A 26,856-nucleotide genomic window follows, 5' to 3' on the forward strand; every position below is an offset into this window, starting at 1 on the left:
CTTGCTACTTAGTGGTTGTTAAACAATAAATCTTTTAACTTTTAACACTATGTTAGACTGTGACTATAGCTTTATTTTTCACATATATATATATATTTTTTTTTTAATTTTATTTTTTGAGACAGGGTCTTGCTTTGTCACCCAGGCTGGAGTGCAGTGGCAGAAACATGGTTCACTGCAGCCCCAAACTCCTGGGCTCAAGTGATTCTCCTACCTCAGCCTCCTGAGTAGCTGGAACTAGAGGTGCGCGCCACCACGCCTAACTATTTTTTGTACTTTTTTTAGAGACAGAGGTCTTGCTTTGTTTCCCAGGCTAGTCTTGAACCCCTGGGCTCCAGCGATCCTCCCGCCTCAGCCTCCCAAAGTGTTGAGATTACAGGTGTGAGCCACCATGCCTGGCCACTTAAAAATTTTGGTTATGAAGGTAATGAATCCAAGGAGATTGATCTTGGATATGTGTTTTCTTTTTTGGAAGGGAGGGCATGTGGCAACTAGACTGTGTTAGCAAACTAGCTGGTGAGAGTAATCTAGTAAGGTGAGAGAAGAGAAGGATAATCTAAGGATTTAAGTCCTTGAAAACATGTGCTTCATTTAGTGTTGTGTAGATGACCTGGGCATTGATAGGTAGTTAGCAGCTTGATTAATGTGTAATAGGGGGAAGAGGAAGGAGAAAATGGATGCAGGGGTATGCAAATGTATTCAGTATATTTTAATATTTCAAGCTGGTGGTTTCTATTTCCTAGATGTGTTTTGTTATTTATTTTTTGAAATCCTCTTTGAGGCTTTTTAAGGCATGTTGCCACTTAAAATAAATTCTCTCTCTCTCTCTTTTTTTTTTTTTTTTTTGAGACAGAGTCTCGCTCTGTCGCCCAGGCTGGAGTGCAATGGTGCAATCTCGGCTCACTGCAAGCTCCGCCTCCCGGGTTCACGCCATTCTCCTGCCTTAGCCTCCCGAGTAGCTGGGACTACAGGCGCCCGCCACCACGCCCGGCTAATTTTTTGTACTTTTTAGTAGAGACGGGGTTTCACTGTGTTAGCCAGGATGGTCTTGATCTCCTGACCTTGTGATCCGCCTGCTTTGGCCTCCCAAAGTGCTGGGATTACAGGCGTGAGCCACCGCACCTGGCTAAAATAAAATTCTCTATCTGTTCTCTTCATTGTCTTTCTCCAAGTCCAAAACTAGAATCTGTCTCTAATAGCCCTCTCCCTTCCTCTCCAACACATACTCATACCCTCAAGATTACCAGTTTATAGAGACATTTGTTACCTTTGGCTACCTCCTTCTCCTCTCTTTGGATCTAGTACAGGATAAGAGAACTACTAACCCTGGGCAAATAGACATTTATTTTTAGAGAACACATTATAAACCATAACTTCCTGGGAGTAAACCATGTAGTAAATGTGTAATTCTGTGAGTGAACTGCTCAGGTATATGTACATAGGCGACTTACTGGCCTTGTTCTTCTGAAGACAGCCCTGTAATTATTTGCCCTGATTCATAGTCATCTTTTCTGTGTAAAGTTTTCTGAGCTTGGCATTTCTCTTGAGTTTAGTTCCTTTAAAAAAAACAAACAAAAAAAGGCTTCTATTTCTATAGTAGAAAATGGTAGAACCTGTTTTGTGTGTGTTTTGGGCTGTGGTTTTTCTTACCCTTAATTGTCATTTTGCTCTCATCTACTTTCTGTCTTACAAGAATTCCAAGAAACAATTTTGGTCTGAAGATGGTATAATTTGGTAATCATTTATCTTTTCTGTGATTCCAGATGAATTTGATGCAGAAGGAAAAAAGGCTTTGTAAAATATTTTCTTAGCTTTTCTGGCTGGTGATATGAATGAAGAGTTTAAAAAAATGTCATGTCACTTTATTTGGTCATTTTACTTGTAGGAATTTATTTTAAGTCTTAAAATAGTAATTGGATAGGGGATTGTGGGAAAATGGAGGCTCACTGCAGTCAGTCTATTGTTGTAGGTTATGTTCCTCAGTAAGGAGTTTCCTTTATGTTCAACAGCTTTGGAAGGTGGAGGGTAGAACCAGTATTGGACAGAAGGAGAAGTTAAGCTGTGACAGCCTTTACTAACTTCATGGGATGCTCTGGAGCCAGAATGGCCCTTGAGAGCTATACCAAGTTGGGCCAAGATAGCCAGGCCTTTATACTCCAATTATTCCATATTGAACATGGGCCAGCCTGAGAAGAACTGTGACCAGGGACAAGTTGGCTCTCTGCAACTGAGGCAGCTTCTGTAGAATCTCACAGATAGAGGCTTTCAGCAAGCAGGATTCCCAGCAGTTCTTTCTTGAAGTGGGATATGAGTGCTTCTTTACAGTGTCTACTATACCTCCTTTTTACTCCTAACTCTAAAGCTAACCCATGAACCTCCGAAGCCAAATTGCTGATGGGGCTCTCAGATAGCTTATAAGCCTTAAACCATGGAGATTATGCAGTGATTTCACTTCTTTGGGTTGGAGGACACCCTGAGAGATACATAACCCTGGGCTGAAGCCCAAGCATATGTATTTAGATGAATATATGTGATGGATCTTAGGAGCAGTTAATAGAAAATAAGTGTAAATATCTATAAATATGTGGTAAAATATAGGTAAAGAGAGTCACGGAGGTTAAATTAGTTGATTAGAAAATCAGGTAGCAGCTGGGCACAGTGGCTCACTCCTTTAATCCCAGCACTTTGGGAGGCCGAGGCGGGCGGATCACCTGAGGTCAGGAACTCTAGACCAGCCTGACCAACATGGAGAAACACCGTCTCTACTAGAAATAAAAAATTAGCAGGGCGTGGTGGCGCATGCCTGTAATCTCAGCTACTTGAGCGGCTAAGGCAGGAGAATTGCTTGAACCCAGGAGGTGGAGGTTGCGGTGAGCTGAGATCACGCCATTGCACTCCAGCCTGGACAGTAAGAATGAAACTCCATCTCAAAAAAAAAAAAAAAAAAATTAGGTAGCAGATTATTTCAAAGTACATAGCAAAATTATAAACAGAAATTACGAGGCAGGAGACTTAAAGGATAGACAGTAAGAACTTCAGAAGTAAAAAATTAGAGGAGTGTAATAATCATTCCTGACATTAATATGAAAACCTTGAAACTCTTAAAAATTGTTTCTTCATATTTTTGAGCTGGAAGTTTTCCCAATTATAAGTTCCCTGAAATTCTAGCCAGTGATAGATTTTTCTTGCATTCTTCCTTCCCTCAAGTAATTGGTCGTTTGTTGCATTTCTGTCACTTTTGGGCAAAATATGCTTTGGTTGTTTCAATTCTTAAGCAGTTACAAATGGCCAGGGCAAGTTACATGCCAAGAGCTGCCAATGTGGAGAAGCCTTAAGTTAGAGCTTGGAGGGTTTTCTTTCTCTTTTTATCTTTTTTTTTTTTTTTTTTTTTTTTGAGATGGAGTCTTGCTCTGTTGCCCAGGCTGGAGTCCAGTGGCGCGATCTCGGCTCACTGCAAGCTCTGCCTCCCGGGTTCACGCCATTCTCCTGCCTCAGCCTCCTGAGTAGCTGGTACTACAGGTGCCCGCCACCACGCCCGGCTAATTTTTCTATTTTTAGTAGAGACAGGGTTTCACCGTGTTAGCCAGGATGGTCTCGATCTCCTGACCTTGTGATCCGCCTGCCTCGGCCTCCCAAAGTGCTGGGATTACAGGCGTGAGCCACTGCGCCCGGCCCTCTCTTTTTGTCTTTTGTGGGTTGAATGACAGTACTCTATCCTGGAATATTTATAGTATAAGAACATGAAATGTGTGTTTTCCAATCATAGATTTTGTTTGGCTTCTCCAAAATTGTCAATTTTTTAATCCATTTTCTGTAATCATTCTAAAACAGGTTTTAAGCATTGTATGAGGATGTCCAAATAAATGATTTCCCTCATTCTGTATTAAGGACTTTAGAAAATTCTAGTTACAGTAGACTAGGAATTTTTTTATGGATAACTACCTTAAAGATTAGAAATAAGGACTGTGCTTTGGTCAAAAGGATTTTACTAGAGAGACTTTGGTGAGGTGATGGGTACTTGCATACTGCACCTTTAGAGTTTTAATGATTTTTTTTCTGATTAAGAAACAGCACGTTAAGATCCTTCTTAAAATAAGATGCTAAGCATAATGAGGGTAGAGTATAATTGTTTATAAAATGTGTAAACGAGTAGAAAGATCACTATGGAAGAAATGGAACAAATGCTCATGGAAGAAATGGCTCAATTACAAATCTGTTCCTGCCATTTAGAGTATTAACTTTGTGACTTTGAATTTGAGCATTCATATTTATTTCTCAGTTCACCATATTTTTGTATGGATGCCATGTTTCTCCCAACTGATAATTACATGGACTTCTTTTTTAAAATATTTTATTTTTTCTCTTTAATTTTTTATTTCTTTGGGGGTTTTTTTGTAACATCTTTTCACATCACATGGACTTCTTATACTTCAGTTTTATTTGCTTTAGAAGACATCATACTGTCTTTTTAAAGGTTCCCCAATCCTAAAAGAGAATTTTATGAAGCCAGATGATATATATAATTAATCAAATTATTGAAAGTATGCCCTCCAAATTTGTGGAAATTCTGTAATATCATTACAAGGGCAATCTCCAGGTTTGATATGGTGACTGCACAAAATTGTCAGGGACCAAGTCTTCTGTTTTCAGCATGTTTTTAGGTACAAGTATTAAATACCTGATTCTAGCTTAAACAATAAGGACATTTATTACCTCACATAATAGGAAGTTCATAGGTGGATTTTTCTCCAGGCATGGTTTGAAGTCTAGAAGGATCCAGTTACTTTTCAGTCTGTTTCTTCTGTGCTGTGGGCTTCATCCCAAGATAGTTCCCTCGTGGTGGCAGTTGGTAATATATGCTTCCTTGTTCACATCCATTAGTAGACAGAGAACCTTTTTCATGTCTGTCATCTATAAATCAGTGGTGATTGGGCCACCTGAGCTCATGTGCCCATTTCTGGACTAAAACAATCACCGAGATTGCCAGGAAACTGATAACCTTTTCAAATCAATAACGGGGATTGAGAGTGTGGTTAGAAATGAATGTGAGAAAATCAGCCACACCATTGACTACACAAACTCTTGCTTGACTATTTTTTTTCTACAGCTGGTTTGATAAATTTGGTTTGCTTTTCTTTTTAGAAGACCATTAATTAATGACCTTTATAAACTAGCTACCCTCATGCATGAAGAACTAGGAAATGGGAGATGGCTTAAAACCAGTTCTTCACCACAACTGGAAAAATTTCTCATAGTCTAACGTCCTTCCAGTGATAGGTTGGTTGGCATCATCTTTATGCAAAAAAGATGAGCATTATTCATATGTAAAAGTTATTTTTTCAGATATGTGATGATGTTTTTGGGTAATGTTTCTGTAATTTGAACATATTCAGAATGTTCTTTATATGATTTTATATATATTTTGGCAATTTACAGTAAAATGAAAACATTTCATATAGAGTTTCAGAAAACATTAACTTCCATTTTTGGTAAATCTTCTTTTATTCAGCATCTCATATATTGTAAGGTCAGCCGAGAGAAAGGAAAAATAGACCCAAAGTCAGGCGAGTAAGTTTATTGAACCTGCTGGCTGCTCCACCACAGACAGAGGAGGCAGCCCTGAGCTTACAAAATGAGGGGTTTATATGGGGGAGAGAGACCCTGGGGTCGTTTGTTGGTTAACTTTGCCATATATAACCTTGTGACATTTATGGTAGCAGCCAGATGAAGGAACTTACAGGAGGGTTTAGGTAAAGTTTGTTTATGCTTCCCACGACCTCCCCTGTGCAGTCTGGATGGTTTGTAATTGGGGTTTGCTTATCGCAGCAAGGTCTGATAAGTGAAGTCTGCTGGCTCCACTGGGGCGCCTGGATAAGAGCTTAGAAAAGTAAAGAGGCTGGGGGAAGGGTGAACGGCACAGAGAAGGGTTGCAGGGCGTTAAGGCAAGGGGTGGGCAGTACGCAGGGGTTTGGGGGGAGTGTTGGCAATACCAAGAAGCTTTTTTGGGGCGGTTTGTCCCTAACATATAGTCAGAAGATAATGTTTTATTTACTGCTTTGTTGAAGAAACAACTTGGTCACTAGTGAAGGGTAACATGCAGTGTGTTGTAAAATGTTTTTTGCTAGTTTCTGATCCTTAAATTGAGCAGCATATTATACTTAAGTAGAATGTCTAAAAACCTATATATGGTTTAAAGACTATTAAAATTGACACCTGTCTACCTACTCTACAAGTTAAGAAATAGAATGATACTGCTACCACAAGCCTGTGTTCTCTCCAGTTGCATCCTCCTCCCTTCCTCTGTAGGTGTAACCCATGCCTGGCTGTGATGTTCAGTGTTCTCTTGCCTTTCTTTCTTTTTTTTTTAATCCACTGATAAAAGTATCCCTGAACAAGATACCGTTTATCTTTGGAAAGCTGAATAGCAGGCACGAACATAGCTATGTAAGGAAGGGGCCATATTGTCACTATTTAGAGGAGGCTCTTGGGAGAAGTAAAACTAAAGAAGAGATTTTAGCGTTATAATGTGGCTTCTGGTTCCTCAATAGTTTACAAGAGCCACTTTTGGGGAAGGCAGTGTGCTGGGGCATGTGTGACTCTTGGCAAACATAATACCCATAATTAGGACATATGACATGACCAATATGAACCAGGAAAATCTGGTCAGGAATATGAACAGAGAGAGTGGGTTATTCAGAAGTAAATCAAATCAGGCCGGTCATGGTGGCTCACACCTGTAATCCCACACTTTGGGATGCCAAGGCAGGTGGATCACTTGAGGTCGGGAGTTCGAGACCAGCCTGGCCAAAATGGTGAAACCCCGCCTCTACTAAAAATACAAAAATTAGCTGGGCATGGTGGCACGCGCCTGTAATCCCAGCTACTCAGGAGGCTGAGGCAGGAGAATCACTTGAACCTGGGAGGCGGAGATTGCAGTGAGCCAAGATCACCCCACTGCATTCCAGCCTGGGCAACAGAGTGAGACCCCATCTCAAAAAAAAAAAAGTAAATCAAAGCAGAACACTTAACACTTCTGGGAGCCTTCACATCATCTATTTTGTAGAATATAGAGGGGAGAATAGAAACTTTATCAGAACATGGTCAAAAAAAAGCCAAGCCCAGTTAAGAATCTGGGCCAGGTTTATCTGGGTATTTGGTCCTCAGGTTGAGAAGAGGTTACAAGAGCAGCAGAATTTTAATGATAAGCCTCAGTGACTTGGATCTGGGGCATAGCTGCTGTCCTGGGATCACCCTTTTTCTTCATCTTGGGTATTCCCATGGCCTCTTGTCTCTGTTGTGTCTCCTGCTTTCAATAAACCATATCTTCTTCTTTCTTGTATATACTCTCCTTTAAGGGGAGCATATTTGTCAGATTTTTCTTCAGGAAAGTTATTTGGGAGATAATTTTCTTTGGAGACTTTGCGTATCAGAAAATACCTTTATTCTAGCCTCCTAATAGATCGCTTGACTGGATATATAATTTTAGGTTGGAAATAATTTTCCTTCAGAATTTTGAAAACATTGTTCTGTTGCCTTATTTCTAGAATTACATATCTGTTGTAGGACCCTTCAAACTACCAAGTCATAGCCTTCTTTTCTGGGAATATTTTTGGAATTATTTCCTGAATTTTCTTTTTTCCTTTTATTCTTTCTTTTTGGGGCTCTATTATTGATATGTTAGACCTCCGGGGCACAGTTTTTCTAATTTTCTGTTTTTGTCCTTTTTGTTTATTTTTTGAGAGATTTCTTCAAATTTAATTTTAATCTTTTTATTGAATTATTTATTTCTGCTATCGTACTTTAATCTACCGAATTTAATTTTTTTTAGAGCATCCTGTTTGTTCTCCTGCACACACCCCCTTTTCATCCCCCTCAATGAAAACAATATTTTCCCTTACCTAAGACTAGTAAGAATTTTTTGAAGTATATTTTCCCCTGCATAGTAGTCATTATTTTTTCTTTTAGGTTGTCTTTTTTTCTTTTGTGTTAGTTTCTTCTTGGTTAGAGGCTTTCTTTAGATGTCTGATAATTCTTAGCTGTCCATATTTCATAATTGGAATAATTGAGAACTGGAGGCTCTGAACATGGGATTGCGGATCTCTGAATATGATATCCATGGCCTTTTGTTGGAGAATCTCTGCATTTTTTGGTCAGATTGCCTGAACAACATCAAGTGTTGAGTGAGAGAGTTGAGGGAGCCAATTGCTTCTCAAATAGTTTTTATCCTGGTCTTCCATATCTTAGCTTGTGAATTGTAAACCACAAATTAAAAAAATCCTTTTCTAGCTGATCAGAAAAATATTATGCCCCCATGTTTTCATCTAGTAGTCTTATGGGCTTCTTTTTATATCTAACTCTCTTAATCCTCCACGAGTTTTGATCTTTGAGGAAGGTCGAGTTGATCTAAGGGGTTAGCCTAGATGCTGTTCAAGTGCAGATCTGAGATTTGACCATGGTTTTACGTTTCTGAACTGAGGGGGGCCCAGAATTTTAAGTTGTTTGGTCTGAAATATCACTATCTACTGGGAGGTGGGTGTGGTGGGAATCTTGTTACCGTGTTTGTTAAGTGTATTATTGACTTTAAAGTGAGACATAATTATGACTCATAATTATTTTCCTTTCAGCATTATCTGCATACCAGAGGTACTACAGTTTACAGTCTGACTACTGGAAGGTTAGTGTACATTTGCATGCTGATTTCATGTTTGTGTTTTGGGCAGATTATTGCCAATTATACTCAAAATTAATTGAGCTCTTGCTTTTTTTTGTTAATTACTTAAAATATTGCTTCTAGGGGAAAGGTATTGGAAAAGGGTTGAGAGTATTTATGTTTGTGCTGTCTTGTATGACTCTCCTTGTATTTTATTAAGAATTAGAGTCCTCTGACACATTTTACTGGTCAAATGTAATAGAAGTGTGATAAGTAAAAATCAAGCAAAACTAAACAAATAACAATAACAAAATGATTCCTTGGTTTTCTTTTCTAAAGTTGGTACCTGGGAGTAAAAGAAGGCTGAAGACGTGTATATCAGGCTAAAATGGGAAGGTGTAATGGGAAAGTTATGATAAACTCTTTCTTGGTGTACTCTGTTTATAATTGGAGCTTTGAGGAGAGCTGAACCTATTTTTTAGAAGACCTACCTAAATGAAAGACTGTGCATAGCAGTGAAACAATTAATCATCCACTTTCTTATCTTAATTTAAGCAGTGATTAAGCATGATCTTTTACATCATGTTTACTTTTAAGTTTATTGAGCAGTGAGTTTTTTTTTTTAAATCTGAATTGCTGTTTCAGATTTTTTGTGGATTTTATTTTTCTATTGGTTAATTTGTCTTTCTTTTTGAAGTAGGTACTTATTCCAGTCTTATATAGACTGGCTTTGTCTGGAAAAGCCCTTCAACAGTCAGCCTATGCAGAGATTTTGAGAACACCGTGTAGAGGTTTTAGACATATATGTATATATATTTTTTCTTTTTTAAGTCTTTTGAAAATATCTTCTCTAATCTCTGGCTTTTTTTTAAAAGCTTTATCACATGCTATAAAATTATAGCTTAATTCACATGCTATAAAATTATAGCTTTATTCACATGCTGTAATTCACATGCTATAAAATTCAGCTGTTTTAACTATACAAATCAGTGATTTTTAGTAAATTTTCAGAGCTGTGCAGCTGATAGAGGCAGGAGGCAGACAAAGGTCTAGACAGATAGGGAAGGGTCCCTGGAGAATCACTGATCCACCCAGCCCACAGGTGTTTACACCAGATGTTTTGTGCAGATAAGGGAACCTGCACAGGGGGCTTGCCTGGGCATGCCTGCAGTGGACTGGAGGTACACATGCACTGGGGGAATGGGGTGGAGCCACCAATAATTTGAGCCTTATACAGGGGAGGATCCTGGCCTCTTCAACTGTGTGCTGGGGCCCTGGTATTCAGTTTGTGAGGTGGAAACCTGCTGGCAGGACCCCCTTTCTTTGCTGATAGCTTTCCTTTTGCTTAATAAATTTTGTCTTCCTCACCCTTCAATGTGGCTGCATGCCTAATTCTTCCTAGTTGTGAGACAAAAATCCAGATTAGCTGAGCTAAGGGGCAAAAAATCCTGCATCACAGCCATCATCACAGTCTTATTTATCTCCCTGGAATGAAACCTCACATATATCCCCAGCCCTGGCAACCACCAGTCTACTTTCTGCCTTTATATATTTGTCTTTTCTGGATATTTCATATAAATGGAATCATATAATATATGGTCTTTTGTGGCTGGCTTCTTTAACTTAGCATATGTTTTCAAGGTTCATATATGTTATAGCATGAATATTTTATTCTTTATTTCCTGATAATATAGTCACCCCTCAGTATCCGTGGGGCATTGGTTTCAGGACCCCTCATGGATACCAAAATCCATGGATACTCAAGTTCTTTATATTAAATGATAAAGTATTTGTATATCACCTCTACACATCCTCCCATATACTTTAAATCATTTCTAGATTACTTATAATACCTAATAAAATGTGAATGCCATGTAATTGATTGCTATACTGTATTGCTTTTTAGTTTGTATTATTTTTTATTATTGTTATTTTTTTCCTGAATATTTTTGATCTGCAGATGCGGAACCCATGGATACAAAGGGCTCACTGTATTCCATTGGATCAATATACCACAGTTTGTTTATCCTTTCATCAGTTGATGGGCATTTGGGTTGTTTCATTTTTTGGCTATTGTGAATAATACTGCTGTGAACATTTGTGTACAGGTTTTTGTGTGACATAATATTTTCAGTTTTCTTGGGTAGGTACTGAGAAATGGAATTGTTGGATTATAGGGTAAATCTGTGTTTAGCATTTTGGGAAACTGCCAAAACTTTTTTTCCCTATGTCTGTACCATTTTACATCCCTGCCAGTAATGTGTGAGGGTTCCAGTTTCTCTGTATCCTACTCAGCACTTTTAATTATCTAATTTTTGAGTGTACTAGTTTTTTAGTGTGCCTAGTGGGGTAGAAAATAAAGTTTTAAACTTTGATAAAGTCCAGTTTATCAGCTTTGTAACACAACTTTTTATTGCTTGTGTTTTTGTTGTTGTACCTAAGAAATCTTTGCCTAACTCAAGGTCATGAAGACTTACTCCATAGTTTATTTAATCAGGTGCTTCAGTGCTTTGCTTTTACAGAGTGCTGCAGTAAATAGTCTAGTAAAAGTGTCTCTCTCTCTATATATATAGTTTTTTAGAGACAAGGTCTTGCTCTCTTGCACAGGGTGGAGTGCAGTGGTGCAATCAGAGCTCACTGCAGCCTTGAATTCCTGGGCTCAAGTGAATCCTCCTGCCTCAGCCTCTCGAGGAGCTGGGACTGCAGATGCACACCACCATGCTCGGCTAATTTTTAAGTTTTTTTTTTGCAGAAATAGAATCTCACTATATTACTCAGGCTGGTCTCAAACTCAATCACTGGCCTCAAGTAATTCTCCCACCTCGGCCTCCCAAAGTGCTGGGATTACAGGTGTGAGCCACCGCACTTGGCCTGTCTTTTAATACTTTTGTTAGTGATTCTTTAGTATAGATTCCTTTAAAAGTGGGATCATTGTGTTGAAGGGTATTTGCTCCTTTGGGATTGAACCATTTGCATTTATTTCAACAATGTATGCAAGTGCTTGTTTCTTCTTGGTCTTAATCAAGAACCTTTTTGTCAGCAGACTTGCCAGTTTGATAGGTGAGAAATGGTATTTTATTATAATTTAAATTTACATTTTCTTAGTTGTTAGTGAGATTGAACTTTTTAAAAATTGAAGTGTAAAGACTATTTGAATTTCTTTTTCTTTGAAATATTTGTTCATGTCTCTTGCCCATTTTTTTTATTAGGTCATTGTTTTACTGTTTTATGTAGCTATATAACATGTATTAGGCATATTTATCCTTTATCTGTGACATTAGTTGAAGCTACTGTTGCCCAGTTTGAGATTTGTTGTTTTGCTTTGTTTTTGTGTGTTTGTGTTTGCCTGTGCAGAAGTTTTCTATTTCTGTGTAGTCAGATTGATCAGTCTTCTACATTGCCCTTGTATTTTGAATCATAGGATGGGTTTTTTCCTCATTCCCAGGTGTTAGAGAAATTCACCCACATTTTCTTTCAGTACTTGAATGGTTTAATATTTTACATTTAAATTTCTGATCCGTTTGGGTTTTATTCTTGACTTACAGTGTGAACAATATTTAAGATTATCTTTTTTCTTATGACTGGTTATCCCAAAGATATATTTTTTAAAAATTCATTTTTTCCTCTGCTGATTTGAGATGTTGCCTTAATTGTATACTAAATATTCATATGCAGTTTTGTCTGTGCATTTTGTGGCATGCTTTGTTCATGAACTAATACAAAAGTATTTTACTAACAGAGATTTTATAATATGTTTTAATGTATGGTAGTGCTAGGGCACCCTTTCCCCACTGTTCTTGCTTCTAGGATTTTCCTGGCTGTCGTTGGTGGCTTGTTTTTCCAAATAAACTTTCTAATTAACTTGTCTAGCTTCACAAAAAATACCTGATAATTTATTTTCTGTAGCTTTTTTGAGATATATTTAGCATTATTTTAAGCATTTTTTGAGATATGATTTACATTATTTGAGATTTGACAACTTAAATAGTTGTATAACCATTACCATAATGAAGATATAGAACATTTTCCATCACCCAAAGTGTTCCCTTGTGCCATTTTCCTACTCTTGATCTCTGGTCCCAGGCAACCACTTCTCTGCTTTCATCCCTTTAGTTTTGTCTGTTCTGGAATATCATGTAATGGGGTTTAAACAGCATATATTCTTTTGTTTTTGATAGCTTTCATTTGGCATGCTTTTACTGAGATTCATCCATGTTGTGTGTATCAGTAGTATGTTCTTTTTCATTGTTAAGTAGGATTTCATAGAATGGATATGCCACAGTTTTTCTCAGTTGATAAGTATTTGGGTTGTTTTCAGCTTTTGGTTATGAATAAAGTGCTGTGAATATTATTTGTCTTTGTGTGGACATGGATTTTCATTTGTCTTGGTATATATACCTATGATTTGGGAATGCTGAATTGCTTTGCAGTTTTAGGTTTAACCGTCAGACTTTTTCAAGGTGGTTATACCATTTTATATTCCAACCAGCAGTGAATGAGATTTCAGATGTTCCATATCTTCGTTAGCACTTGGTATTGTCAGTCTTTTTAACTTTAGCCCATCTGCCCATTCTTGTTTTTTCTTCTTTCTTGTTTTCTTTCTTTCTTTCCTCCTCAGTCTTTTTAACTTTAGCCCGTCTACCTATTCTCCTTCCCTTCCTCCTCTCCCTCCCTCCCTCTTCCCTTCTTCTTTCTTTTCTTTCCTTCTCTTCTTCCTTTCCTTCCTGTTGTTCTTCCTTATCTTCTTCCTCTTCTTCATTGAGTTTTATGGGTTCTTTATATACTCTGGATAAATGCCCTTTGTCAGATACTTGTTTTGGAATTATTAGTCTCTGGTTCATCTTTTCATTTTCTTACTAGTGTCTTTTGAAGAGCAAATGTTTATTGTTTCAATGAGGTCCATTTAATTACTTTTTTTTTCTTTTACAGTTTGTGCTTTTTGTGCTAGGAAATCTTTGTGTATCCCAAGATCATAAAATATTTCCTCACCTTTTAAATTCTGTTTTGGCCTGTGATACATTTCAAGTTGTTTATGATGTGAGATAGCATCAGTGGTCCCCCCACCCCCTACCCCAATAGCTACCTAGTTTTTCCAGCATTATTTGTTGAAAAGACTACACTTTGAAAATCTAGCATTTCTTCTTTGAAAAATATCAACGTACAATTTAGTTTTCTGTTTCTAGATTCTCTGTTACGTTCCAGTGATCTGTGTGTCTGTTTTTAAGCCAATATCATAGTTTTGTTTACTATGTTCTTGAAATCAAGCAATGTAAGTTCCCTGTATTATTTTTTTCTTTCTTTCTTTCCTTTTTTTTTTTTTTTTGAGATGGAGTCTCTCTCTGTCGCCTAGGCTGGAGTGCAGTGGCACGATCTTGGCTCACTGCAACCTTCGCCTCCCGGGTTCAAGTGATTCTCCTGCCTCAGCCTCCCCAGTAGCTGGAACTATAGGCCCACGCCACCACGCCTGGCTAATATTTTGTATTTTAGTAGAGACAGGTTTCACCATGTTGGCCAGGATGGTCTCGATCTCCTGGCCTCGTGATCCGCCTGCCTCGGCCTCCCAAAGTGCTGGGATTATAGGCATGAGCCACCGCCCGCATCTGGCCCCAAGTTCCCTGTATTCTTTTTCAAAATTGCTTTGGTTTTTCTAGGTCTTTTGCCTTTGCATATAAAGTGCAGAAACGGTATAATTCAGTATAATTCTGCTAGGATTATATTGGAACTACATGTGCTAAGTTAGGAAGAATTTGTCATCGGTAATATTGCATTTGCTTGTTCGTGAACATGGCGTATTTCACCCTGTATTTAGCCTTCTTTAAGACTCTACAGCAATACTTCATAGTTCTTATCACATATGTTTTACGTTTGTTTTTTTTTATGCTATTGTGATTGGAGTGGTTGTAAAATTTTATTTCCAATTGTTTTATTGCTATTATATAGGAACATTTATTATTGCATGCTGATCTAGTATCCTACTGTCTTACTAAATTATATTGTTCTAGTCATGTTACTCTAGATAGGATTTTCTACATACATTATGCGGTCTGCAAATAAAGAAAATTTTATTTTTTGTTTTCTTATTTGTGGATGCCCGTTAGTTTTTTTCTTGCCTTGTTCAACTGGCTAGGACCTCCCATACAATGTTGAATGGAAGGGGACATCCTTGTTTTGTTTCTCTGGGGAAAACATTACATTTTTACTGTTGAATGTGATACTACCTGTAGGGTTTTTGTAGACTAATATTGAAGATGTTCCCTTCTGTTGCTAGTTTACTTCGAGGGCTCTTCCCTCTTCCCCCTACTTCATGTTTTTATAATGAATAGTGTGAGGATATAGGAAAAAACTCAGTTCCTCCTATACTCTCACAACACAGAACATTTCTGTAACAAAATGTGTGTGGGTTTTCCCCCTGCATACCTGGCAAGCAATCAGTTCTGCAGTGGCTGCTGGTGTCCTCTAATTCAGTTCAATTCTGACATTATCTACCTGGAGATAGTTTCAGATCCCACAGAGTGAGAGCTAAGTCCCACAAGACTACCCCCACTTCAGATGCCATTGCAGGCCTCCGGAACTTTTGAATGACTGGCTATATAAATCGGGGTTCCCATGACCCTCTCCTTGGTTCCATTAATCTGCCAGAGTGGCACAGACCTCAGCAAACAGTTAGGGTTTACTGTTTTATTATAATGGGTACAGATGAAGAGATGCATAGGATGAGGTCATGTGGGAAGTGGCATGGAGCCTCCATGCCCTCTCTGGGCATGTCACCCTCTAGGGACTTCCGCTTGTGCAGCTATCCAGAAGCTCTCCAAACCCTGTCCTTTTGGGTTTTTATGGAGGCATTATTATGTAGGCATGACTGATTAAATGATTGGCCACTGGTGATCAGCTTAACCTTCAGTCCCTTTCCTCTACCCAGAGGTTGGAGAATGGGGCTGAAAAGTCCCAACGTTCTAATCATGCTTTGCTCTTTGCTGTGACCAGCCCCCATCCTGAAGCTACATAGGGGGCTGCCTGCCCTGAGTTATCTCATTACAGCCCCCAACCTGAAGCTACATAGGTGGCTGCCTGCCCTGAGTTATCTCGTTAGCATAAAAGAGACACTCAGGGCTGGGCGCAGTAGCTCACCCAGTAATAATCCCAGCACTTTGGGAGGCCGAGGTGGGCACATCACCTGAGGTCAGGAGTTTGAGACCAGCCTGGCCAACATGGTGAAACCTCATCTCCGCTAAAAATACAAAAATTAGCTGGGTGTGGTAGTGCTTCCTTGTAATCCCAGCTACTGGGGAGGCTGAGGCAGAGAATCGCTTGAACCCGGGAGGCAGAGGTTGCAGTGAGCCGAGATCATGCCACTGCACTCCAGCCTGGGCAACAGAGTCTAAAGTAAACAAAACCGACCTTTTTCTTATTTTTTTTTTCCACTTTAAGAAAAGAAAGAAAAGGTTTTGAATTCTGGAAGCAATGCCTATCTGAATAGAACCATTGATTAAACGTTATGGTAACATGGAAGGATGGAGAACAGTGTTTCAGTTTGAAAAACTAGTTGGTCTGTTACAAGATATGCAGGATATGTATTTTTTTGTACATTGATTGATTAAAGTATTTGTGGGTACAGTTTCTTAAAATAGTGATCAATTCATTATTTTTTTATAACCCTAATTTTATAAAGGGTTTGATAGAGTTGTGCTAAAATTTAGTTTGGGACACCGAAAAAAATTGATTATTAAATTTAACATACATACTATCTATATGAATGTAAATATCAGCTTTATAATATTACTGCTGAAGAATATCACATAGTATTAGGTTGGCGCAAAAGTGATTATGGTTTTTGCCATTACTGCAGTTACTTTTGCACCTAAGATTCAGTTTGTTGAAGAGATTAATTCACATTTTTTGGGTATGCTAATTATAGATAATTCTTATCCTTAAAACAGTTTCACTAAAAAGTTCTAAATAATACTGTTTTACTGCCTGATTCAGCATATGCTTGAAAATTATACTGTACTTCTTACCAGCCCTGAATTTGTGCTGGCCGTATTTTCCTAATTGGGCCTGATTGGTAAGGTTTTCTTCTGTATGGTCTTATTTTTTCATCAGTATTGTACTGGTGTGGGATTATGGGTTAATGTCAGGTAGGAGAGAAATGTTGAAGAGAGAATTTTTGTAACAGGAGAACTCAAGGTTCTTCTAATTCAGATTTGTTTTTTGAATTCAGAAATATATTCAGTATTTAAATGTATCAGTCTGGAAATGCTTCATAATATGAAAATATTTAGAACCTGTAAGGAAGACAGAACTATAATTAATATTTCAACAAGTTTATTGCTTAACCTGAATTTTTTTTAAAAGCCTAACTTTTTTGCTTAGAAGAGACCAAGAGAGTGAGCTCTTTTAAAGAAAAGTTAAAAAGCAGTATATTTTGGAATAAGGATTAGATTCTTTGGAAATTTTACAAGTTTAGAAGCAGAACACATCTTAGAAATTATTATCTAATTCCTTTACTTTATGGACTAGACATGGTGCATCCCGGTGATTAAGGAAGCCCCCCAAGTCAGCACAAATAGGTAGTGGATAAACTAGTGGAATCTGTGCTCATTTTCTGACTTTCCGGTGGCTTTTTCAGTTATACAGTTTAGGCTAGTCTGGCTTTCACATTTGTTGACAGGGTCTCTTTTGACAATGCAGAAATGAATAAGATAGTTCCTGCTCTCCCTTATTTATTTATTTATTTATTATACTTTAAGTTTTAGGGTACATGTGCACAACGTGCAGGTTAGTTACATATGTATACATGTGCCATGTTGGTGTGCTGCACCCATTAACTCGTCATTTAACATTAGGTATATCTCCTAATGCTATCCCTTCCCCCTCCCCCCACCCCACGACAGGCCCCGGTGTGTGATGTTCCCCTTCCTGTGTCCATGTATTCTCATTGTTCAATTCCCACCTATGAGTGAGAACATGTGGTGTTTGGTTTTTTGTCCTTAAGATAGTTTGCTGAGAATGATGGTTTCCAGCATCATCCATGTTCCTACAAAGGACATGAACTCATTTTTTATGGCTGCATAGTATTCCATGGTGTGTATGTGCCACATTTTCTTAATCCAGTCTATCATTGTTGGACATTTGGGTTGGTTCCAAGTCTTTGCTATTGTGAATAGTGCCGCAATAAACATACATGTGCATGTGTCTTTATAGCAGCATGATTTATAATCCTTTGGGTATATACCCAGTAATGGGATGGCTGGGTCAAATGGTATTTCTAGTTCTAGATCCCTGAGGAATCGCCACACTGACTTCCACAATGGTTGAACTAGTTTACAGTCCCACTAACAGTGTAAAAGTGTTCCTATTTCTCTACATCCTCTCCAGCACCTGTTGTTTCCTGACTTTTTAATGATTGCCATTCTAACTGGTGTGAGATGGTATCTCATTGTGGTTTTGATTTGCATTTCTCTGATGGCCAGTGATGATGAGCATTTTTTCATGTGTCTTTTGGCTGCATAAATGTCTTCTTTTGAGAAGGGTCTGTTCATATCCTTCACCCACTTGTTGATGGGGTTGTTTGTTTTTCTCTTGTAAATTTGTTTGAGTTCATCGTAGATTCTGGATATTAGCCCTTTGTCAGATGAGTAGATTGTAAAAATTTTCTCCCATTTTGTGGGTTGCCTGTTCACTCTGATGGTAGTTTCTTTTGCTGTGCAGAAGCTCTTTAGTTTAATTAGATCCCATTTGTCAATTTTGGCTTTTGTTGCCATTGCTTTTGGTGTTTTAGACATGAAGTCCTTGCCCAGGCCTGTGTCCTGAATGGTATTGCCTAGGTTTTCTTCTAGGGTTTTTATGGTTTTAGGTCTAACATTTAGATCTTTAATCCATCTTGAATTAATTTTTGTATAAGGTGTAAGGAAGGGATCCAGTTTCAGCTTTCTACATATGGCTAGCCAGTTTTCCCAGCACCATTTATTAAATAGGGAATCCTTTCCCCGTTGCTTGTTTTTCTCAGGTTTGTCAAAGATCAGATAGTTGTAGATATGCAGCATTATTTCTGAGGGCTCTGTTCTTTTCCATTGGTCTGTATCTCTGTTTTGGTACCAGTACCATGCTGTTTTGGTTACTGTAGCCTTGTAGTATAGTTTGAAGCCAGATAGTGTGATGCCTCCAGCTTTGTTCTTTTGGCTTAGGATTGACTTGGCAACGCGGGCTCTTTTTTGGTTCCATATGAAGTTTAAAGTAGTTTTTTCCAATTCTGTGAAGAAAGTCATTGGTAGCTTGATGGGGATGGCATTGAATCTATAAATTACCTTGGGCAGTATGGCCATTTTCACGATATTGATTCTTCCTACCCATGAGCATGGAATGTTCTTCCATTTGTTTGTATCCTCTTTTATTTCATTGAGCAGTGGTTTGTAGTTCTCCTTGAAGAGGTCCTTCACGTCCCTTGTAAGGTGGATTCCTAGGTATTTTATTCTCTTTGAAGCAATTGTGAATGGGAGTTCACTCATGATTTGACTCTCTGTCTGTTATTGGTGTATAAGAATGCTTATGATTTTTGCACATGGATTTTGTATCCTGAGACTTTGCTGAAGTTGCCTATCAGCTTAAGGAGATTTTGGGCTGAAACGATGGGGTTTTCTAGATATACAATCATGTCATCTGCAAACAGGGACAATTTTACTTCCTCTTTTCCTAGTTTGAATACCCTTTATTTCCTTCTCCTGCCTGATTGCCATGGCCAGAACTTCCAACACTATGTTGAATAGGAGTGATGAGAGAGGGCATCCCTGTCTTGTGCCAGTATTCAAAGGGAGTGTTTCCAGTTTTTGCCCATTCAGTATGATATTGGCTGTGGGTTTGTCATAGATTGCTCTTATTATTTTGAGATACATCCCATCAATACCTAATTTATTGAGAGTTTTTAGCATGAAGTGTTGTTGAATTTTGTCAAAGGCCTTTTCTGCATCTATTGAGATAATCATATGGTTTTTGTCGTTGGTTCTGTTATATGCTGGGTTACGTTTACTCATTTGCGTATGTTGAACCAGCCTTGCATCCCAGGGATGAAGCCCACTTGATCATGGTGGATAAGCTTTTTGATGTGCTGCTGGATTCGGTTTGTCCGTATTTTATTGAGGATTTTTGCATCGATGTTCATCAGGGATATTGGTCTAAAAGTCTCTTTTTTGGTTGTATCTCTGCCAGGCTTTGGTATCAGGATGATGCTGGCCTCATAAAACGAGTTAGGGAGGATTCCCTCTTTTTCTCTTGATTGGAATAGTTTCAGAAGGAATGGTACCAGCTCGTCCTTGTACCTCTGGTAGAATTCGGCTGTGAATCCATCTGGTCCTGGACTTTTTTTGGTTGGTAAGCTATTAATTATTGCCTCAATTTCAGATCCTGTTATTGGTCTATTCAGAGATTCAACTTCTTCCTGGTTTAGTCTTGGGAGGGTGTATGTGTCAAGGAATTTATCCATTTCTTCTAGATTTTCTAGTTTATTTGTGTAGAGGTGTTTATAGTATTCTCTGATGGTAGTTTGTATTTCTGTGGGATCGGTGGTGATATTCCCTTTATCATTTTTTATTGCGTCTATTTGATTCTTCTCTCTTTTCTTCTTTATTAGTCTTGCTAGAGGTCTATCAATTTTGTTGATTTTTTCAAAAAACCAGCTCCTGGATTCATTGATTTTTTTGAAGGGTTTTTGGTGTCTCTATTTCCTTCAGTTCTGCTCTGATCTTAGTTATTTCTTGCCTTCTGCTAGCTTTTGAATGTGTTTGCTCTTGCTTCTCTAGTTCTTTTAATTGTGATGTTAGGGTGTCAAGTTTAGATCTTTCCTGCTTTCTCTTGTGGGCATTTAGTGCTATAAATTTCCCTCTACACACTGCTTTGAATGTGTCCCAGAGATTCTGGTATGTTGTGTCTTTGTTCTTGTTGGTTTCAAAGAACATCTTTATTTCTGCCTTCATTTCATTATGTACCCAGTAGTCATTCAGGAGCAGGTTGTTCAGTTTCCATGTAGTTGAGCAGTTTTGATTGAGTTTCTTAATCCTGAGTTCTAGTTTGATTGCACTGTGGTCTGAGAGAGAGTTTGTTATAATTTCTGTTCTTTTACATTTGCTGAGGATTGCTTTACTTCCAAGTATGTGGTCAGTTTTGGAAGAAGTGGGGTGTGGTGCTGAGAAGAATGTATATTCTGTTGATTTGGGGTGGAGAGTCCTGTAGATGTCTATTAGGTCTGCTTGGTGCAGAGCTGAGTTCAATTCCTGGATATCCTTGTTAGCTTTCTGTCTTGTTGATCTGGCTAATATTGACAGTGGGGTGTTAAAGTCTCCCATTATCATTGTGTGGGAGTCTAAGTCTCTTTGTAGGTCTCTAAGGACTTGCTTTATGAATCTGGGTGCTCCTGTATTGGGTGCATATATATTTAGGATAGTTAGCTCTTCTTGTTGAATTGATCGCTTTACCATTATGTAATGGCCTTGTCTCTTTTGATCTTTGTTGGTTTAAAGTCTGTTTTATCAGAGACTAGGATTGCAACCCCTGCCTTTTTTTGTTTTCCATTTGCTTGGTAGATCTTCCTCTATTCCTTTATTTTGAGCCTATGTGTGTCTCTGCACATGAGATGGGTTTCCTGAATACAGCACACTGATGGGTCTTGACTCTTTATCCAGTTTGCCAGTCTGTGTCTTTTAATTGGAGCATTTAGCCCATTTCCAATTAAGGTTAATATTATTATGTGTGAATCTGATCCTGTCATTATGATGTTAGCTGGTTATTTTGCTCATTAGTTGATGCAGTTTCTTCCTAGCCTTGATGGTCTTTACAATTTGTCATGTTTTTGCAGTGGCTGGTACTGGTTGTTCCTTTCCATGTTCAGTGCTTCCTTCAGGAGCTCTTTTAGGGCAGGCCTGGTGGTGATAAAATCTCTTAGCATTTGCTTGTCTGTAAAGTATTTTATTTCTCCTTCACTTATGAAGCTTAGTTTGGCTGGATATGAAATTCTGGGTTGAAAATTCTTTTCTTTAAGAATGTTGAATATTGGCCTCCACTCTCTTCTGGCTTGTATAGTTTCTGCTGAGAGATCAGCTGTTAGTCTGATGGGCTTCCCTTTGTGGGTAACCCGACCTTTCTCTCTGGCTGCCCTTAACATTTTTTCCTTCATTTCAACTTTGGTGAATCTGACCATTATGTGTCTTGGAGTTGCTCTTCTCGAGGAGTATCTTTGTGGTGTTCTCTGTATTTCCTGAATTTGAATGTTGGCCTGCCTTGCTAGATTGTGGAAATTCTCCTGGATAATATCCTGCAGAATGTTTTCCAACTTGGTTCCATTCTCCCCGTCACTTTCAGGTACACCAATCAGACGTAGATTTGGTCTTTTCACGTAGTCCCGTATTTCTTGCAGGCTTTGTTCGTTTCTTTTTATTCTTTTTTCTCTAAACTTCTCTTCTCACTTCATTTCATTCGTTTGATCTTCCATCGTTGATACCCTTTCTTCCAGTTGATCAAATCGGCTACTGAGGCTTGTGCATTCGTCACATAGTTCTCGTGCCTTGGTTTTCAGCTCCATCAGGTCCTTTAAGGACTGCTCTGCATTGGTTATTCTAGTTAGCCATTCATCTGATTTTTTTTTTGAAGGTTTTTAACTTCTTTGCCAGGGGTTCGAACTTCCTCCTTTAGCTCAGAGTAGTTTGATCATCTGAAGCCTTCTTCTCTCAACTCGTTGAAGTCATTCTCCATCCAGCTTTGTTCCGTTGCTGGTGAGGAGCTGCGTTCCTTTGGAGGAGGTGAGGCGCTCTGATTTTTAGAGTTTCCGGTTTTTCTGCTCTGTTTTTTCCCCATCTTTGTGGTTTTATCTACCTTTGTTTTTGATGATGGTGACGTACAGATGGGGTTTTGATGTGGATGTCCTTTCTGTTTGTTAGTTTTCCTTCTAACAGTCAGGACCCTCAGCTGCAGGTCTGTTGGAGTTTGCTGGAGGTCCACTCCAGACCCTGTTTGCCTGGGTATCAGCAGTGGTGGCTGCAGAACAGCGGATATTGGTGAACAGCAAATGTTGCTGCCTGATCGTTCCTCTGGAAGTTTTGTCTCACAGGAGTACCCGGTCATGTGAGGTGTCAGTCTGCCCCTACTGGGTGGTGCCTCCCAGTTAGGCTACTCGGGGGTCAGGGACCCACTTGAGGAGGCAGTCTGTCCGTTCTCAGATCTCCAACTGCACTGGGAGAACCACTGCTGTCTTCAAAGCTGTCAGACAGGGACATCTAAGTCTGCAGAGGATTCTGCTGCCTTTTGTTTGGCTATGCCCTGCCCCCAGAGGTGGAGTCTACAGAGGCAGGCAGGCCTCCTTGACCTGTGGTGGGTTCCACTCAGTTTGAGCTTCCAGGTGGCTTTGTTTACCTACTCAAGCCTCGGCAATGGGGGCGCCCCTCCCCAGCCTCACTGCTGCCTTGCAGTTTGATCTCAGACTGCTGTGCTAGCATCAAGTGAGGGTCCCTGGGCTTAGGACCCTCCGAGCCAGACACGGGATATAATCTGGTATGCCGTTTGCTAAGACTGTTGGAAAAGCGCAGTATTAGGGTGGGAGTGACCTGATTTTCCGGGTGCCGTCTGTCACCCCTTTCTTTGACTAGGAAAGGGAATTCCCTGACTCCTTGCACTTCCCGGGTGAGGTGATGCCTCGCCCTGCTTCGGCTCACGCTCAGTGGGCTGCACCCACTGTCCTGCACCCACTTTCTGACACTCCCCAGTGAGATGAACCCAGTACCTCAGTTGGAAATGCAGAAATCACCTGTCTTCTGTGTCGCTCACACTGGGAGCTGCAGACTGGAGCTGTTCCTATTCAGCCATCTTGGCTCCACCCGCTCTCCCATATTTCTATGAGGAGGAAACACGTAAACATAATTAGTTTTTGGTAAGTAATACATTGGAAGTGTTGAGGGCTGTGCCGGAGGCAGAAGTGCACATGCTTTGTTTGAGGGGTTTGGGAAAGTCTCAGTGGGGATTAGGAAAGACTTTACAGAAAAGGTGAAACTTCAGGGAAGGATTAGTGGGAGTTTTCAAGATACAAGACCTGGTCAAGTTTTCCAAGAAGAGAAGTGAGAGAGCAGTGCATAGCAGTACAGTAGGTGTTTTGGAAACTCCCACGTTCTCGGTCTAGAGCAGAGGTCCACAGACTTTTTCTTACAGGGCAAAATAGTAAATATTTTAGGTTTTGTGTACCAAGAGGCAAGATCAGGTAATATATAGGTGCTTAGATAATCTTTTATATAAAAATCATTTTTAGCTCCCAGGCCTTAAAAAAAGGATTTGGCTGGCAATAGTTTATAGACCACTGTCTTAGAGCCTGTCATGATTGTTGGGCGTTATAGGACTCAAACTGGGGAAAAGGAAGGCAAAGGCCAGATCATAAATGCGTTTGCAACAGTTAGCACTGTTTTGCAATCTTAGATTTGTCCATATCTTGTGAAATACGATAGTGCTGGAGATCAGATAAAGTTAAATAAAACACAGTTATTTTTTAGGGGTTGGATTGGGATTGCATTGACTTTGTATTTTAAAAACAAACTGTCGCTGGGCACAGTGTCTCATGCCTGTAATCCCAGCACTTTGGGATGCCAAGGTGGGCGGATCACCTGAAGTCAGGAGTTCAAGACCAGCCTGGTTAACGTGGTGAAACCCCGTTTCTACTAACAATACAAAAAATTAGCCCAATGTGGTGGCACGCGCTTGTAATCCCAGCTACTCAGGAGGCTGAGGGAGGCTGAGGCAGGAGAATCGCTTGAACCCTGGAGGTGGAGGATGCAGTGGGCCGAGATTGCGCCGTTGCACTCCAGCTTGGGCAACGAGCGAAACTGTGTCTCAAAACATAAATAAATAAATAAATAAATAAATAAATAAATAAAAGCTGTCATCTTTTGTCAGTAAAGTTTTGTAACTTCCTCACAAAGTTCTCGTGCTTCTTATAAATAATGTATTTTACATCTTACACTTCTATTGCTATTATACATGCCATTTTAATTTTATTTTTTATCTCTGCTGGTATATAGAACTGCAGTTGACTTTTATGTGTTAAATTTATCAAGCAACTTCACTAACTTTCACTAATTTGGGTTATTTGACTATGTAACTTTGGATTTTCTCTGTAGACTATCCTACCTTTGTAATTAGTGACAATTTTGTTTCTTCTGTTATCAGTATTGTAAACATTTCATTAAAAGTGTTTGGAATGTTCTCATCTTGTATTTTCTGAAATAGTAAATATTTTAGGTTTTGTGGACCAAGATATAATCTTGTAAAAGTGGTTTCTTGCATGTTTGATAAAACCAACCTGTTAAACTCTCTGGGATTGGTAATATGTCTTTTTGGGAAGATTTTATACTACTGGTTTTATTAGTTACCAGTTACTTTTTTAGGTTGTAAATCTCTGCTACATTTGTTTATGGTCACATATACCTATAGTTAGGTCCTTAATTAATTTCTGATTCTTAGTTGTGCCTTCTGTTTTCTTCCTTGCTTCAATCAAAGGTTTGTAAATTTTAATACTGATTTCAAATAATACAGTTTTGACATTGTTGATCATCTCTAGTTTATTTCCTTCTTTCTTTGGACTTATTCTCTTTTTTTCTTTTTCTCTTCTCTCTCTCTCTCTCTTTCTCTCTTTCTCTTTCTCTCTTTTTCTCACCTAATTTACTCCATAATGCCTCCTACAGTCTTTTTGTCCAGACCACTATCTAGTTCAGGACCATAGGTTAGAACTGAGTATGTCCCTTAGGTGTCTTTTTAAGCATTGTCTTCCCTCCACTCTCATCCCTTTTGTGTTTTTGTTTTGGTCTCTGGCTTAAAGAGACCAGCACAGTTGTCTTATAGTGTGCCATTTTCTGACTTTGTTTTATTGCTTTCTTTTGGTATTGTTTAGCTCATTTCACTATCTTCTGTATTTCTTTTAATTAAGTTGATAGTTAACCAACAACTGTTTGCTTAGTGGGTGTTTTTGTTGTTGTTGTTGTTGTTGTTTTGAGACAGAGTTTCACTCTTGTTGCTCAGGCTGGAGTGCAGTGGCACAATCTCAGTTTACTGCAATCTCTGCCTCCTGGGTTCAAGCGATTCTCCTGCCTCAGCCTCCTGAGTAGCTGGGATTACAGCTGTGCACCACTACGCCTGACTAATTTTTTTTTTGTATTTTTAGTAGAGACGGGGTTTCACCATGGCCAGGCTGGTCTTGAACTCCTGACCTCAGGTGATCCGCCCGCCTCAGCCTCTCAGAGTGTTGGGATTACAGGCGTGAGCCACTGCACCTGGCCTGGTTAGTGGTTTTTAATGCCCCATCAGGGCTTATAAAAAAATATTTTCCCTCCATATATATGTATATTCCTTCCTGGGTATACTTTAGAGTAAATTACAGATAACATGACATTTCAATCCTTAATATTCTAAATACCTTTCTACAAAATAAGAATGATTCCTTAAATAACTGTCAGATCTTTACCACCTAACGAAATTTAGCAATACTGTCTTCTTCTTTTTTTTTTTTTTTTTTTTTTTTTTTTTTTTTTTGAGACGGAGTTTTGCTCTTGTTGCCCAGGCTGGAGTGCAATGGTGCGATCTCGGCTCACTGCAACCTCTGCCTCCCGGGTTCAAGCAATTCTCCTGCCTCAGCCTCCCGAGTAGCTGGGATTACAGGCATGCGCCACCACTTCTGGCTAATTTTGTATTTTTAGTAGAGATGGGGTTTCTCCATGTTGGTCAGGCTGGTCCCGAACTCCCAGCCTCACGTGATCTGCCCACCTTGGCCCCCAAAGTGCTGAGGTTATAGGCGTGAGCCAACGTGCCTGGCCAGCAATACTGCTTTTTATTCCTTCAAAGATGCACTTTTTTTTTTTTGAGATGGAATCTCACTCTGTTTCCCAGGCTGGAGTGCAGTGGCTTGATCTTGGCTCACTGTAACCTCCACCTCCTGGGTTCAAGCGATTCTCCTGCTTCAACCTCCTGAGTAGCTGGGACTACAGGCGCATGCTACCATGCCCGGCTCATTTTTTTTTTTGTAGAGATGGGGTTTCACCATGTTGGCCAGAATGGTCTCAATCTCCTGACCATGTGATCCACCCACCTCGGCCTTCCAAAGTGCTGGGATTACAGTCATGAGCCACCATGCCCGGCCTACCCTTTTTGTTTAAATCTTTGGAGCAAGGTATCTAATAATATTTTAAGTC

General features: G+C 39.2%; 1 protein-coding gene across 25 annotated transcripts in view, besides 2 other annotated features; it reads left to right on the forward strand.

The window, feature by feature from the left end:
• KDM6A (lysine demethylase 6A) overlaps positions 1-26,856 on the forward strand; it is a 239,592-nt gene that overhangs the window by 92,854 nt on the left and 119,882 nt on the right. For all 25 annotated transcript variants that reach the window (NR_111960.2, XR_007068200.1, NM_001419809.1 and 22 more), the window contains one exon: positions 8,625-8,674. Coding sequence is in view for 19 of the 25 variants with exons in the window: in NM_001419809.1 (NP_001406738.1) it covers positions 8,625-8,674 (50 nt within the window). In the remaining 6 variants the exon portion in view is untranslated. The remainder of the gene's footprint in view (positions 1-8,624; positions 8,675-26,856) is intronic.
• Positions 5,663-5,957: an enhancer, noted in NCBI's record as "tiled region #12888; K562 Activating DNase matched - State 8:EnhW". NCBI's record gives its function as "activates a minimal TATA promoter and a strong SV40 promoter by Sharpr-MPRA in K562 cells {active_cell/tissue: K562}" and the evidence as "EXISTENCE:reporter gene assay evidence [ECO:0000049][PMID:27701403]".
• Positions 9,211-10,410: an enhancer, noted in NCBI's record as "MED14-independent group 3 enhancer chrX:44834497-44835696 (GRCh37/hg19 assembly coordinates)". NCBI's record gives its function as "activates an origin of replication core promoter dependent on BRD2, BRD4, P300/CBP and CDK7 cofactors, and independent of MED14, by STARR-seq in HCT116 cells {active_cell/tissue: HCT116}" and the evidence as "EXISTENCE:reporter gene assay evidence [ECO:0000049][PMID:35650434]".

Source organism: Homo sapiens, chromosome X, assembly GCF_000001405.40.
Source record: "Homo sapiens chromosome X, GRCh38.p14 Primary Assembly".
NCBI lineage: Eukaryota > Metazoa > Chordata > Mammalia > Primates > Hominidae > Homo > Homo sapiens.